Source organism: Homo sapiens, chromosome 3 (assembly GCF_000001405.40).
Source record: "Homo sapiens chromosome 3, GRCh38.p14 Primary Assembly".
NCBI classification, from domain to species: domain Eukaryota; kingdom Metazoa; phylum Chordata; class Mammalia; order Primates; family Hominidae; genus Homo; species Homo sapiens.
In genome coordinates this window covers 70,126,731-70,142,025 of record NC_000003.12, presented here as the reverse complement: position 1 = coordinate 70,142,025, position 15,295 = coordinate 70,126,731, and the positions used below count along the sequence as shown (strand labels likewise).

Sequence of the window (15,295 nt, the reverse complement as noted above, 5' to 3'; positions counted from 1 at the left end):
TTTCATTTTTTTATTATGGCCATTCTTGCAGGAGTAAGGTGGTATCACTTTGTGGTTTTGATTTGCATTTCCCTGATCATTAGTGATGCTGAGAAATTTTTGTATGTTTACTTTTTTAATAGATTAACAAATGAACTAGACAGGCAACATAGCACTAGGAAGGACATCTTACTCTAATGCAGAACTTATCCTGTGTCCTGGCTCTATTCTTTTAGCTGTGTATTGTCTTCAGGGAGGTCACTTAACATCTCTGAGTTTCAGTGTCTTCAGCTGTGAAATAAGAAGAAAAAAACAGAAAACAATCCTACACAAGGTTGCCAAAGGATCATGGGAAATAATATGTTTGAAACTGTTTGGGAAATGTAAGACATTTAAAAACATACACTATTTTTACTACCGAAGTTGGTTACTGTGATGGTTAAGTTTGTGTGTCAACTTGACTGAACTAATAAGGGATGAATGGTGGCAGGTAAATATTATTTCTGGGGGTATTTATGAGAGTGTTTCCAGAAGAGATTAGCATTTGAATCAGTGGAATGAGTAAAGATCACTCTCATCAACATGGGTGGGTATCATCCAATCTGTTGAGGGCCCAAATAGAACACAAAGCTGGGGAAAAGGCAACTTTGCTGTCTTTCTTAGAGCTGGGACATCCATCTTCTTCTGCCCTTGGGCATTGGTACTCCTGGTTCTCAGACCCTCAGGCTCAAACTGGGACTTACACCATTGACTTCCTTGGGCCTGCAGCTTGCAGACGGCAGGTCATGGGACTTCTCAGCCTCATGATTGTGTGAGCCAATTTTCATAATAAATATTTATATGTACATAGATCTTATTAGTTCTTTTTCTCTGGAGAATCTTAATACAGATTTTTGTGTCAAGAAGTGGGCATGTTGCTGTAACAAATGCCTAGAAATGTGGAAGCAGCTTTGGAATTGGGTAATGCGTTGAGGCTGGAAGAGTTTCAAGGTTCATGCTAGAAAAAGAAAATAAAAACAAAAACAAAAAAAAACCTACATTGCCATGAATGTCCCACGAAGGGCAATTCTGATGAAGTCCCAGAGAGAAAGGAGGAAAGTTTGCTGTAGAGAAAACCTCAATCTTCTTACAGAATTCCAAAGTGGTCACGAACAGAACGTTGGTAGAAATATGGACAATAAAGGCTATTCTGATGAAGACTCAGATGGAAATGAGGAAGAGGAACATGTTATTGGGCAATGGAAGAAAGGCAATTCTCATTATAAACTGGAAGAGAACTTGGTTGAATTGTGTTCATGTTCTAGTGTTTTGTGGAAGGTAGAATTTGTGAGCAAAGAAATTGGATATTTGGCTGAGGAAACCTTGTTTTTGTAGATCACAGAACTTCATTAAGATAGAATCACTGCTAATTACCTAGAAGCTACTTGTCGAAGCCAAAATCCACGAGGTTAATATAAACTTACAGTTACACAAATTAGAAGCAAATGGCATATTCAAAACCATAAGGAAAGATCCTTATGCCAAGGTGATGAAGGCTGAAGTAAATATGTCTGCACATTTATTTCAAGCTGTTAAAGAGTTTGTGGGTCACTCAGTGGTCCCTTGCATGCAAAAAGTCCAAAGCTCCTCCATGGCATTCTCTTCTTTGTGACTGGAAGGATATACACTCATCACAGAGCTCTAGCCACTCCTGGCCTTTACACATTTCTCCAGCTGCTTGCATTGCTCTCTTTCTGTTGTTGGGGGATCCAGTAATTCCTCCTCTTGCTCTTCCTCCTCCATGAGATCTTCGGACCTGGTCAGTATCTTTCACTCATCTTCCAGTCCCATGTCTGGCTATGGTTCTGAATTCAACACACTCAAGCAGCAACAGCGGCACCTAATCCACCTCAGAATCAAGAAGGACTTATCAGCTGAGGAAAGTTTTAAGCAGTGTTGAAAGTACAGTTGGCTTCTCTTGACTGCTTCTTGCAAAGTGTGAGAAGAGAGAAATGACTTACAAAATAATTATTAATGAAAAGGGAAGCAGAACTTAAAGATTTAGACAATTCACAGCCTATTCATGTTAGAAAAAAAATGAGAAAGCCTGTATGGAAGAGAACATGAAGGGTGTGACCAAATTTGATAAGGAAAGTAGCATGGATCAGCTATCTCAATGGAGCCAGGTGCTATTCATCAGGACAATGGGGAGATTAGTCAGCCATCTAAATAGAAGTCCAAATAAGATGTATTGCACACTCTATTGTCCAATACAATGGAAGAATGACCCCAAAGACATTTTGGAGAACATCAAGGCTATACTTAAAATCACAGGCCAAGAATTCAAACACCCAGGGGGCCGAGCAATTTCAAATGAGGGGCCACTACTGTTCAGCACATCACGTCATGGGCTTCCTTACCCCAAACTCCATAACCGTACTCCTCAATCACTCCAGGTATGAGTCCCATGTGCTGCACCCAGCAAAGCTGTAGAGGCATGGCTGCCTCCACCTAGATTTTAAATTATGCCACAGGACCCAGACAGAGGGCTGCCTGTGGGGAAAAGCCATTGCAAGGAGCCCCAACAAGGACAATGCCCAGCAAGGCCATGGGGTAGGGCTACCCAGAGTCATGGGTATGGGGCTGCAACCACAGTGGGTCCTGAAGACAGGACCACTGTCCCAGTGGGTCTGGATAAGCCAAAGAAAATTATTCTCAAGACTTAAGGTTTGGTTGGGTGTGGTAGCTCATACCTATAATCCCAGCACCTTAGGAGGCCAAGGTGGGAGGATAACTTGAGGCCAGGAGTTCAAGACCAGCCTGGACAATATAGCAAGACCCCATCTCTACAAAAAATTTAAAAGTTATCTGGGTGTGGTGTCATGTGTCTGTAGTCCTAGCTACTCAGATTTTATTTTTCATACTAAGTCTCTAATATCCAGTATAGATTTGATACTTATAGCACATCTGGAATAGCACATTTCAAGTGTGGTTAGTGATTACTGTATTGAAGAGTGTAGCTCTGTAATGAAGATATATCAAAATGTATTAATTTACACAATTTCAAATAAGGCAGGAGGGTCACTTGAGCCTAGGAATTTGAGGTTACAGTGAGCTATGATTGCACCACTTCACTCCTGCCTGGGTGACAGTGTGAGACTCTGTCTCTAAAAAGCTTTTTTACTTAAAAAGACTCAAGGTTTAATGTTGTTTGCTCTCCCACCATTATATTTTGGAAGCACATTATATGTTTGATTTCACGGATTCACAGCCAAAGAGCAACATGATTCAGAATGAATCATACCTTGAGTCTCACTCATACCTAATTTAGATGATATTTAGATAGGACTTTGGACTTTAAACATTTAAGTTGATGATAGAATGAGATAAGACTTTGGGGGCTATTGATATGAACTGAATGTATCTTGTGTGTGAGAAAGACATGATTTGGGGAGAACAAAAGCAGAATGCAATGGACTAAATGTTTATGTCCCCCCATGATTTCATATATTAAAATTCTAGCCACCTAGGTGATAGTATTAAAATGTAGGGCCTTTGCTAAGTGATTAGGACATAAGAGCAAAGCCCTCATGAATGGGATTACAAAAAAAGCCTCTAGAGACATCTCTCACCCCTTCTGCCACGTGAGGTTACAGGGAAAAAACAGCCACCTAGGAAGTGGGTCTCTGAATCTGCCAGTCCCTTGATCTTGGACTTCCCAGCCTCCAGAACTATGAGAAACCAATTTCTGTTGTTTATACATTATCCAGTTTTATGATATCTTTGTTATAGCAGCTGGCACAGACTAAGCCAGTTACCACACAAACAAACAAAAAATGGGGATTTTATTTAATACAGATTTTAAAGTGCCAATGAAAATGTTATTTCTTCTATAAAGAACACAAAAAACTTTTTGTGACAAACTACAATCAGCATGCTTTTACATTTGAATCTCATTCCCAAAACAAATTTCTTGTATCTATTAAAATTAATAGTGCACGTCTTTTATTCAGCAATTCCTCTTCTGGGACTCTATATTTCTTAGAAATAAATATTTATAAGGATACCAATGCTTATAATGACAATAGCAACTCAGAACAACATGAATGTATATTAGCAAGCTATATACTTAAAAACTGTGATATATCTGCAGTACAGAACTACACTGCCCAATACAGTAGTCACTAGTCACATGTGAAATGTGGCTATCCAAGATGTGCTAGAAGTGTAAAATCTATACTGGATATTAGAGACTTATGGTAAAAAATAAGTGTGTAAAAAATTTCAATAATGTTTTATATTAAGTACATGCTGAAATGATAATGTTCTAGTTAACTAAAACATAAAATGTTAAAATTAATTATTCTTATTTTAAAAACTGTGGCCATTAGAAAACTTACAATTACACTTCTGGTTTGCATTGTATTTCCATTGGACAGTGTAAGTGTAGACTGGGAACTGGCAAATGTTTTCTGTAAAGAGCCAGAAAGGAAATATTTTAGGTTTTGCAATATTCCTGTTGCAACTACTCGAGTGAGTTGAGACAATATGTAAAAAAAATGAGCATGATTGTGTCCCAATAAGACTTTTTGTATGGACACTGTGATTTCAATTTCATGTAATTTTCACATCAAGAAATACTATTCTTCTAATTTTCCCCCAATCATTCAAAAATGTAAACGCCATTCTTAGCTCATAAACCATATAAAAATAGGCAACAGGACAAATTTGGCCCATAAGTCATAGTTTGCTAACCTCTTCTATAAACTATCGAGGAGTTTTTTTAAAATAAATTAGACCTATCTGTACTATACATACTTTCTCTAAACAATATATTGCAAAGTAGTATGTAGAGCATGATTTTACATTTGTAAAAAAGGCAAAATTACTATATTTATATGTTTACCTAATTCTATATGACCAAAGGACTATAGAAGGATACACACCAAACTGTTTATCTAACTTGTTACCATTGGACGTAAGATGGGAGACAAAAAAGAAAAATGTGTAGCTTTTGGTTTTGTGTCTATGGGTTTCCTGGATCACAGCAATTATGTATGACTCATAATATTGTGATAAAATAAAAGGTACATAAATTTCAAAAAAAGTTTTATCATATACACATAAAGACTCTTATTGAAATGTTGATATTATTGTTTATTTCCTTTGAATATGTTTTCTGTTGATCATAACTATAAAAACTAAGGAGAAAAACTTAGATCAAAACTTCAATGACATAAAATGTCTTAAGTTAAAGATATTGTTGCCCTTCAAATTCTACACTTTGCATTAGTAAGTATAGTTAAACCTTATCTGAGCTCTTGATAAAATACAGTATTCTCCTAAGCTATTTTTATTTCAGAAAATACTTAATACATGTCTCTACTTTCAGTTTATACCAGCTATCTATTACTGCATGGCAAATTACTCCCCCAAAATTTAAAGGTCTGAAGCAAAAAGTAAACATTTACTATCTCACACAGTTTCTGTACGTCAAGCATTCAAGAACCGTTCAGCTGTTGGTTCTGGCTCACAGTCTCTCAAGAGGCACAGACAAGCTGTCAGCCAGGGCTGCAATCATTTGAAGGCTTGACTGGGGCCAGAGGATTCATTTCCAAGTAGTTCACTCAGATGGCTATTGGCAAAGGCCTCAGTTCCTTGACACATGAACCCCTCCATAGATCCACTCAATGTACTCATGTCATAGCAGCTGGCTTCCCCCAGGATGAGGGTACAAAAGAGAGGAAGGTAGAAGAAAGCTATAATGCCTTTCATAGTCTAGACTTGGGAGTCACACAACCACAATAACTTTTTGGTGAACAGCTCAGTTCTATTCAGCGTGGGAGGGGACTACACAACGGTGTGAATACCAGGAAGCAACAATCATTGGGCACCATCTTGGAAGCTGGCAACTACACACGTTCCCCAGACATATTCACCAAAATAGCTATGGGCATGGCCTTAAATCTAACAATTAACCATGTTTTACAAATAAAAATCTGATTAAAATATTCCAATTTTGTGTGGAGATGTATTGCAGGGAAAAACCTTTACATTATATTGAAAGTATATTTAAACTACAACTTAACTATAACAACCGACAAATCAGTGCAAAAAAAAAAACACTTAGAGAACACAGGGTATTTTATAAAAGCAAATTATCTAGCTGCATAAGCCACATGCTCAAGTGATTAAACACAAGAAGCAAGGAATTAGATGGAGAAAAATGGTATAGTAAAAATGAACTGCTTCAGCTTATTAGTTTCTTGACAAAGTATATACATAACATAGAAAGTACAGAATTTCATTTGGTAAAATATCAGGTTATTACATAACATATAGAATATATTTTTGGAAAAGGAATTTTATGTATGGAAAAAAGACTAGAAGGATATGCACTGATATTAACCGTGGGTGTCTCTGGATATTAGATTGAACAGGATTGCTTTCCTTTGGCTTATGTGTTTTTATCTTTTATGTCCACAGAAAATATGCATCAATCACTTTAATGAGAAAAAGACTTATGCAAAAATGCCCATTGTCTGTTTTTTTCCGGCTTGCATTAAGGTATTTCTGCTCTCTAAGTTGCCTTTTGAAGAATTTTGAGATTCATAAGTCATTCTTACAAACCCAAAAAGGGTAAATTACCCATTCTAATGTTTATTCCTGAGGCTATAAGAAGCTAATTGTGAATAGGTGAAATAATAGATAAATTTCATTTACATTAACTTACTTTTATGCTCAATAAGGTCAAAGGTACATATTTTGTTTCTTTCTGGTCCATAAAATATAGATTGCTATTTTCAAAGTACATCAACAGTGGTAATAGCTATTCCCATTAGTCAGTCATATAATCTTATGAAATATTGACATGATAAAACAATGCAACTGAGAAAAAACCAATAAGACCATAGGTTTTATTGACAAATAAATGCACAGGTTTAAATTGTCTCTCACCACCTTTATACCTGATTGACATGTTATCAGAAAAATAAAGATTTAAGCTGGCCAAGATCAATGATTTCAAAATGATTCTTTAGTGCAGATAAAAATACAAATTCAATTCAATTCTAATTCATATTTGGGTTCATGCCACTTTGACAGTTACATTTTATGGCAAAATGTACTTTAATTTTATTCAAACCTTTTTCCAGCTTTTCTTAGAGATTCACTTTTTAATTTATGATACTTCCTTGCCCAATTCAAGCTTCATTCACTTTTAGATACTTTGGAAAGATAAATAACTGACACACACTGCCATTCATGAGTAATGTACCGCCTGTATCCCAAGAAAATAAAATAGGTGGCCAAAGACATATATTTGTTTTAGAAATAAATATGTATCATATGTATAAGTAATAAAATAACAATGAATTAGAAATATGTCATAAAAATGTTTTTCTATTTTACTGAGATTAAATTATATACTGTAATATATACATTTAAAGAATGAAATACCTTAGTTGTGTCTTAAGCTAAATATAACTATGCTTCTATGTAAAGCATGCAAGTTAAGTCATATGTTTACACTTTATTTGTTTGCTACTTTCAGTATATATCCATTGGGAAATATTTTATTTGGCTGGCAAATATTGTATCATTGCAACTGTAGTCAACAAAAACACTTGAAATGCAGGGATACCTCCAAGTAGTACTTAACACTTTTTCATAGGTCAGACTGAGTACTTTTTATTAAAAAAAAAAAAAAGTTAAAAAAATCATTTATTGAATACTTTCTATGTATCAGGAACACTACTGGGCACAAACTTCTTCACATACATCATTTCATTTAATATTTTTTTTTTTTTGAGATGGAATCTCGTCCTGTCACCTAGACTGGAGTGCAGTGGCACAATCTCGGCTCACTGCAACCTCCGTCTCCCGGATTCAAACAATTCTCTTGCCTCAGCCTCCCAAGTAGCTGGGATTACAGGCACCTGCCACCATGCCCAGCTAATTTTTTTTTTTTTTTTTTTTTTTGTATTTTCAGTAGAGACGGGGTTTCACCATGTTGGCCAGACAGGTCTCGAACTCCTGGCCTCGTGATCTGCCTGCCTTGGCCTCCCAAAGTGCTGGGATTACAGGCGTAAGCCACCGCACCTGGCCCATTTTGTTTAATTTTACAACCACCTAGCAAGGTAGAAAATATTATCTTCACTTTACAGATGAGGAAACTCACATCAGTCTGAACCCAAAGCCTGGATTCTTACCTGCTATACCTCAGAAAATTAATTAACATGTGGATCATATATTTATGACTGAGTAAGGAAAAAACAACTGTTTTACCTCTCTTTACTCACACTCCCTCAGTACACATCAATTCTTTGACAGACACCAACTGCCTAAAATTTAACTCAACTGTGCCCTACAACTTAGGTTAATTTTGAGACTATCTATGTGGAGACAGTGTCAGACCCCACAGGTTAAGAGCTCATTCCCACAAGACTACCCACACTTCAGATACCAGTCACAAGCCCCAGACTGTGACCTGTGCTTCTAACTCACCAGCTATAAATTGAAGGACTCCCATAACCTCCCTTTGGGCTCAATCATTTGTCAGAATAGCTCATTGAATTCCAGAAAACATGTTACTTACATTTATGATCTATTATAAAAGGATGCAACTCAGAAACAGCCAAACAGAAGAGATGCTTAGGGCAAGACATGGGGGACAGGGGCAGAGTGTCCATGCCTTCTCCAGCAGGTCATCCTGCATGTGTTCAGCAGCTCGGAAGCTCTCTGAACCCTGTCCTTTTGCGTTTTTATGAAGGCTTCCTTATGCGGGCCTGATTGATTAAATCATCAGCCATTGGTAATCAACTCAACCTTCAGTCACGAAGTGGGGCTGAAAGTTACAACTCTCTAATCACATGACTGGTTCCCCTAGAAACCAGCCCCCACCCTGCAGCTATCTAGGGGCCACCAGCCATTAGTCATCTCATCAGCATGTAAAAAGATATATCACTTCAGAGATTCCAGAGGTTGTAGAAGCTGCGTGCTAGAAAATGGGGGTTGGAAGGATATATTTCTTATAATATAGTATTATAATCACAATATCACAGTGCCCTATATACTTGTTTCTCTCATTTATTCACAGGTGAGACCATTAACAGACACCATTCACCTGGTAGCAAACACTCATGTCTAAGTCAGCGATGGGAATGTACATTTGCCTTTATAAGATCTGCCTTACAAAGCTCATCTTTAAAGAAACTTCAAACATTGCACATTGATTGTCAACTGAAGAATGACAAGGTTCATAAATTGTTTTTTTTTTCTTTTCTTTTTTTTTTTTTTAGGGTCTCATCGTGTTGCCCAGGCTGATCTCGAACTCCTGAGCTCAAGGGATCCACCTGCCTTGGCCTCCGAAAGTGCTGGGATTATAGGCATGAGCCACCACACCCAACCCAAGGTTCCGAAATTTGGAAAGGAGAGTTTTATTTCTCATAAAGGTTGCAGCCTGCAAGATGGCCATTCTGACAGGCTGGAAAATGTAGCTTCCTGCCAGAAGCCAAAAACAGGCACCTTGAGGCTGGGAAGAATAAGACAAGGATATATGTTGATAGGGGTTGCCAACTACACATATCCCACAGATTATAGGAGGAGCTGTGAACATTTGTGAAGGGGAGGCATGGGCATGTGTAGTAGGCTAACATGTACACAGCATGTACCTCATGTTCACTTTGGGGTGGAGACTTAACATTTAAATGTATTACAATTAGGGCCTATACAGCCAAATGTGAAGCAGAGGACAAAAAGGCCCTCTGTGCATAGCCTTCAAAGACTGTCCAGAACCATCCCATGGTCAACGGTCTTTTATCAGGAAGAAATGCTGGTTGGCTGCTGTATTGAAGTCACAAAAAGGAGGGGCAGCATCAGGCAGTTGGTTGATATCAGTGGAGGACCCAGTCTTTCAAAAGGACTGGTTTTGTTTAACCCTTAGGGAAGAAAGCCTAACGGTGTTTAGTGAGGGAGGGGATATAATGAGGTGTGTCTGACTTCCTACCCTGCCATGGCTAAGAACTCAGTTTTTAAGGTTTCTCTAGGGTCCCCTTGGCCAAGAGGGGGTCCTTTCAGTCATTTGGGAAGCTTGGAATTTTATTTTTATTTCTCAATATCATCTCCTATTTATTCTCTAGATCTGACTATAGGTAGGCTACTTGTAAGCATGATCGAGAATTGCAAATCCTGACCACGCATAGTGTCTCACGCCTGTAATCCCAACACTTTGGGAGGCTGAGGTGGGTGGATCAATTGGGATCAGGAGTTCTAGACGAGCAATTTAGTGAGACCCTACCTCTACTTAAAAAATCAAAAAAACTAGCTGGGTGTGGTGGGGTATGCTTATAGTCCCAGTTCCTCAGGAGGCCGAGGTGAGAGAATCGTTTGAGTTTAGGAGGTTGAGGCTGCAATGAGCCATGATCATGCCACTGGGCTCCAGCAGCAAAGCGAAACCCTCTATTTTTTTTTAATTGCAAATTATATTGCCTTGCATTAACTAAACCCTGTTCTTCCTGTTCATGATTGGAGTAAGATAAATAAGAGAAGAAAATAATGGACATGAAGGCAACTTCCCAGTATTCACCCTGCCCCAGACAACTGGCTGAGCCAATCATGTTCATTTCATAGTCTAGTAAATAAGAATTTTCAGCTTACAATGAGATAGCAGGGAAAACCTCATGGGGTTGGGGATTGCTTCTAAGCAAATTTCCTACTCCTAAGAGAGAACCACAGAAGTCTCTTTCTTCTGGACATAATTTTGACTGTAGAGGAAACTTGCAACTTTCAAAAGCATCCTGCTTTTAGACTAAAATAATGCTATCCTGAGAATGCTCTATGAATTCAAAGAGTCTGAGTTCCTCAATGATATCGCTGAGCCACTCAGAATACCAGACTTAAAGCTCGTCTGACTTCTGGGCTCTGTTAAGTGAGATGATATATCTTCTATTTTTAAAACTGGCTTGAGTTAAGTTTCTGTTACTTGCAGTCAAAAAGTACCCTATTTTATACCAGTGGTAACCAAACAATGGTTATATACTTATTTGGGCATTCAATATTATTCTTAACTGACCAGAGTTTCATTTAATATAGTTGAATAATAAACTATCCCAAAACCTAGTGGCATAAAACAACCAGTTATTGTACTCATAGATTCTGCAGGTCAGGAACTTGGACAGAGCACAGAGAGAATAGCATGTCTATGCTCCATGATACCTGAGGCCTGAGATGGAGGCCTAAAAATCTTTGAAGTCTTTAGAGTCCTTGAAGATTGAGGTCTTGATCATCTAAAAGTTCATTCACTCACATGGTTTTGTTAGCTATTGGCTGAGAACCTAGTTGAAGGTGTTGGCTAGAACATGTTCACCTGGCTTCTCCATGTGGCCTGGGCTTCCTCAAAACATAATAACTGAGTTCGGTTCCACAGGTGTGCATCCCAAGAGGGAGTGAGGGCCAAGCAGAAGCCACATCACCTTTGATGTGCTAACTTCAGAAGTCACCCAGTGCCACCTCCATTGCATTCTATAGCTCAGGACAGTTACCAAGTTACATCCAGTTTCAAGCAGAGGGAACAAAGAAATGTCATTATCACGTTGTAAGAATAGCATACAGCATGGGATGTATATTTGTATGGCCAACTTTGGAAATGCCATCTGCCACAGTTTGCTTCTGGCCACAATAATTCACAACCCTAGCACATGCAAAATATACCATTCCTCTCTTGAAACCCTCAAGTCTTATTGCAGCATCAACTCAAAGTCCATGATCTTGTCGCCACAATCACCTCAGGTCCGTGTACAGACAGACGTGGCTCCTCAGATGCAATTCTTTGACTTACAGCTGCTCAACTATATTCGTCTCCATCTTAAGACTGTTAATCAATGAGACAATTTATCTATTCCAGAAACATTCAACATTCAATGGTGGGACAGCTGTAGACTCCCTGCTAAGAACAGCCCTATTCATAAAGAGGGGGCATGGGAGACTGTCATCACTGTTTCACCACAGTTCTAAAATTCAAACAGGTGTATATTGCCATTCCATTGATTAGAGGGGCTCTTACCACATACACACAAAGGGTTACTTCCCTGTGACATAATAGATGTGTTAATTTGCTCGAGTATAGTAACCATTTCACTATGTATAAAGTATATCAAAACATCATGTTGTACAGCTTAAATATATAACATTAAATAAATAATGTTTTAAAGTAAAATAAAATAAAGTCTAACTGTTTTCAAAGTGGCAGAACAAAGTCCCCATCTCTTGATGGAACAGTGTCCATATCATATTTTAAAAAGAGAATGTGGGATGGAATATATAGCTATAGCTATACATTCATTCATTATGGAAAATACAATCTGCTGCAACTAGCTCAGAGATATGTTTAATTAGGGTTAGTTTCATATCTATAGACTATAATCTATAAGCAGTCCCAGGATCATTGAATAAAATGAACTTGCTGGATAAAAGATCTGAGTCTGACTACCAGCTGGGTCATCAAGAATAAGATTCAATCCCTTTGTAGGCCTCATTACTCTTATTTATGAAAGATATATTAAAAATAGGCCATCCCTAACATTGTTTCCATGTCAAACATATACTATCACACATTTATTTTAAAAGATACTCGAATGTTTTCCACCAATTGCTGTTTATCTGATGTTTACTTAATTTTGCTTAAACATCAGTATCCTCATCTGGGAAATGAGTGCAATCATAAAAATGTTTATCTTTTAAGGTTGTTATGGAAATGAAATGATATATGTCAAAAAGCTTAAAGTAAAACCTGGAACACAGTAAGTACTTAATAAATGTTTTCCGTTATTTAACAGAAAATTGCATCACATTTGACAACCACACTAGTTTGACCACTTGGAAAGCTTATCAGTTACAAAAGAGGTTACTTTTATCAAAATGTTAAATCAGAAGATAGAGACACAGGCCAGATACATATAATCCCAGTATCCAATAAATGTGAAAGGAAATTGCTCTTTTCTGTTATTTTTAATAGAAAATATTTATTGGTGCCAGACCGGGTGTTAAAGATTTATATGCATTTGATGCTTACATAAACCTTATAAGGCAGTTTTTAAATTGAAAATTACTATATTTACCTACTCCGTGAAATATTACTTTCTACACTGCTACAAATTCTCTAAATTTTTCATACTTTTCACTTTCCTGCACTACCAGATATACCAGGCAAAAATGTTTAAGAGAGATACTGAGGGTTATTAATAGACATCATTAGTAATAAACCACAATGTTAATTTCATGCCCCAAATGCTTCTTATCTTGCTCCTAATTGAAAAGAATTCCTTGTCTGGACCTCTCAGGTTCATGTCACCCCCAAAACATAGCCAAGGATTGGTTCCCTTTCTTAAAGAGTCAGACAATCGAAAGATGAATAGGAAAGGGCAACCTTTCAAATAAGAATTTCTAAAATAAGAGGAAAACATTTCTGAAAGAGGATAGATAGGGAAATCTCCCATAATCATATGATGTCTTTATTCCAATCATGAGAGTCCGTATTTCAATCATTGTCTTTTGAATTATCAGGCTACCTTTTAAAATATGAAATGGTTTAAAATATTAAACTGGATTCCTGACCTGGGACTTTTTGGAGCTAATATTTGTTGGGAATCTCCAAGCAGGGTCTGTGAAGTATATATTTAACCTCAAAACTCATTTTTATTTTTCTTGCTGGACTAGTATTTATTGGAACATTCAGGGACCGTCAAGGTGAACTTATCAGTAATATACACATTCTTGGCAGCTATTCAGATGGAGAAATGGTAGTTTTGGTTCGGGAGAGGAATAAGGGGAATTGAGGCACTTCTTGTGTAGACAGTCTTAGATGGAGTGACTTACTGCAGGACTCCAAATGTCAGGATCAGCCGGAAGGCAAGAATGCCTAGAAACTGGGAACAGGAAGAGGGATGCTCCCCCAGACACATTTAAATCACTTTACAGTATTTCCTTTGATCCTACATACTTCTGCGGGCTATTCCATTCACTCAACATGTGAACTGAAAATGATGCCTGACCCAGGAACGTTATCCATTCTGGTCCTTACTAATCCTTGTACTCCAGAGTATGAACTATCATCTATAAAATGTGGGGCATGGTTGGGCACAGTGTCTCATGCAGTAATCCCAGCACTTTGGGAGGCCAAGGCAGGCGGACTACTTTAGGTCAGGAGTTAGCGACCAGCCTGGCCAACATGGTGAAACTTCATCTCTACTAAATATACAAAAATCAGCTAAGCATGCCAGCACGTACCTGTAGTCCCAGCTACTTGAGAGGCTGAGGCACAAGAATAGCTTTAAACTGGGAGGCAGAAGATGAAGTGAGCCGAGATTGCACCACTGTGCTCCAGCCTGGGTGACAGAGCAAGATTTTGTCTCAAAAAAATAGAACAAAATGTGGGGCATGGACTAATTTAGTTATGGCAAATAGGAGTCATTCCACTTGCAGATGCTGATCAATCCTAGTAGCTTCCATTTATATTTGTTAATAAAAATAAATTTTTCGAAGACATGAGATCCTATATCTCATTGGTAGTAGGATAGGAAATGCAGCCATTATCAACTTCCCTGGTCTGCCTAGAGTTTAGGTGTGGAGAATGAAAACATATGGCCTCTTGTCTGCCATCCAGCACCAGGGACTCATTAAGTTCTGATAATTTATGATCCTGACCCTGATAAACACCCATGGGCTGCTGTTTGCTGGGTATTGTACCACTGTCTTCCCTAGAAGGAAGAATGTAGTAAGAGGATCCTGAAAGTTGAAAATAATAATAGTGATGATAAAGTATGGATGTAAACATTTTATTCTTTCCTTTAGAATAAAAATAAATGACATCTTATATCATTATTTGGGAAGCTTTGCTTTAGATACCAATTTCTCTGAAACATAGAAGCCCACACTCTTAAGTGGTACAGCCTTTGTCATAATTTAAAACATTCGTTCACATAAGTATAATATATGCTACCCATCTTGGACAGTTCAAAATGTTCCACTTAATTTTATTTGATTAAAAGCCTAATTTTGGCCAGGCACAGTGGCCAACTCCTATAATCCCAGTACTTTGGAAGGCCAAGACAGGCAGATCAGGTGAAGTCAGGAGTTCAAGACCAGCCTGGCCAACATGGTGAAACCCCGTCTCTACTAAAAATACAAAAATTACCCAGCATAGTGGCACATGCTTGTAATCCCAGCTACTTGGGAGGCTGAGGTGGGAGGATCGCTTGAACCCAGGAGGCAGAGGTTGCAGTGTGTAGAGACTGTGCCACTGCACTCCAGCCTAGGCAACAGAGCAAGATTCCATCTCAAA

At 38.0% G+C, this 15,295-nt stretch overlaps 1 long non-coding RNA gene and 1 pseudogene across 13 annotated transcripts in view; both read right to left on the bottom strand.

The window, feature by feature from the left end:
• SAMMSON (survival associated mitochondrial melanoma specific oncogenic non-coding RNA) overlaps window positions 1-15,295 on the bottom strand; it is a 435,002-nt gene that overhangs the window by 292,564 nt on the left and 127,143 nt on the right. For 3 of the 13 annotated variants that reach the window (NR_186021.1, NR_186031.1, NR_186025.1), the window contains exon 5: window positions 4,359-4,430. The exons of the other annotated variants lie outside the window; for them this stretch is intronic. This is a non-coding gene — a long non-coding RNA (survival associated mitochondrial melanoma specific oncogenic non-coding RNA). The remainder of the gene's footprint in view (window positions 1-4,358; window positions 4,431-15,295) is intronic. 13 annotated transcript variants of the gene reach the window in all.
• UQCRHP4 (ubiquinol-cytochrome c reductase hinge protein pseudogene 4) lies at window positions 1,538-1,809 on the bottom strand (annotated as a pseudogene).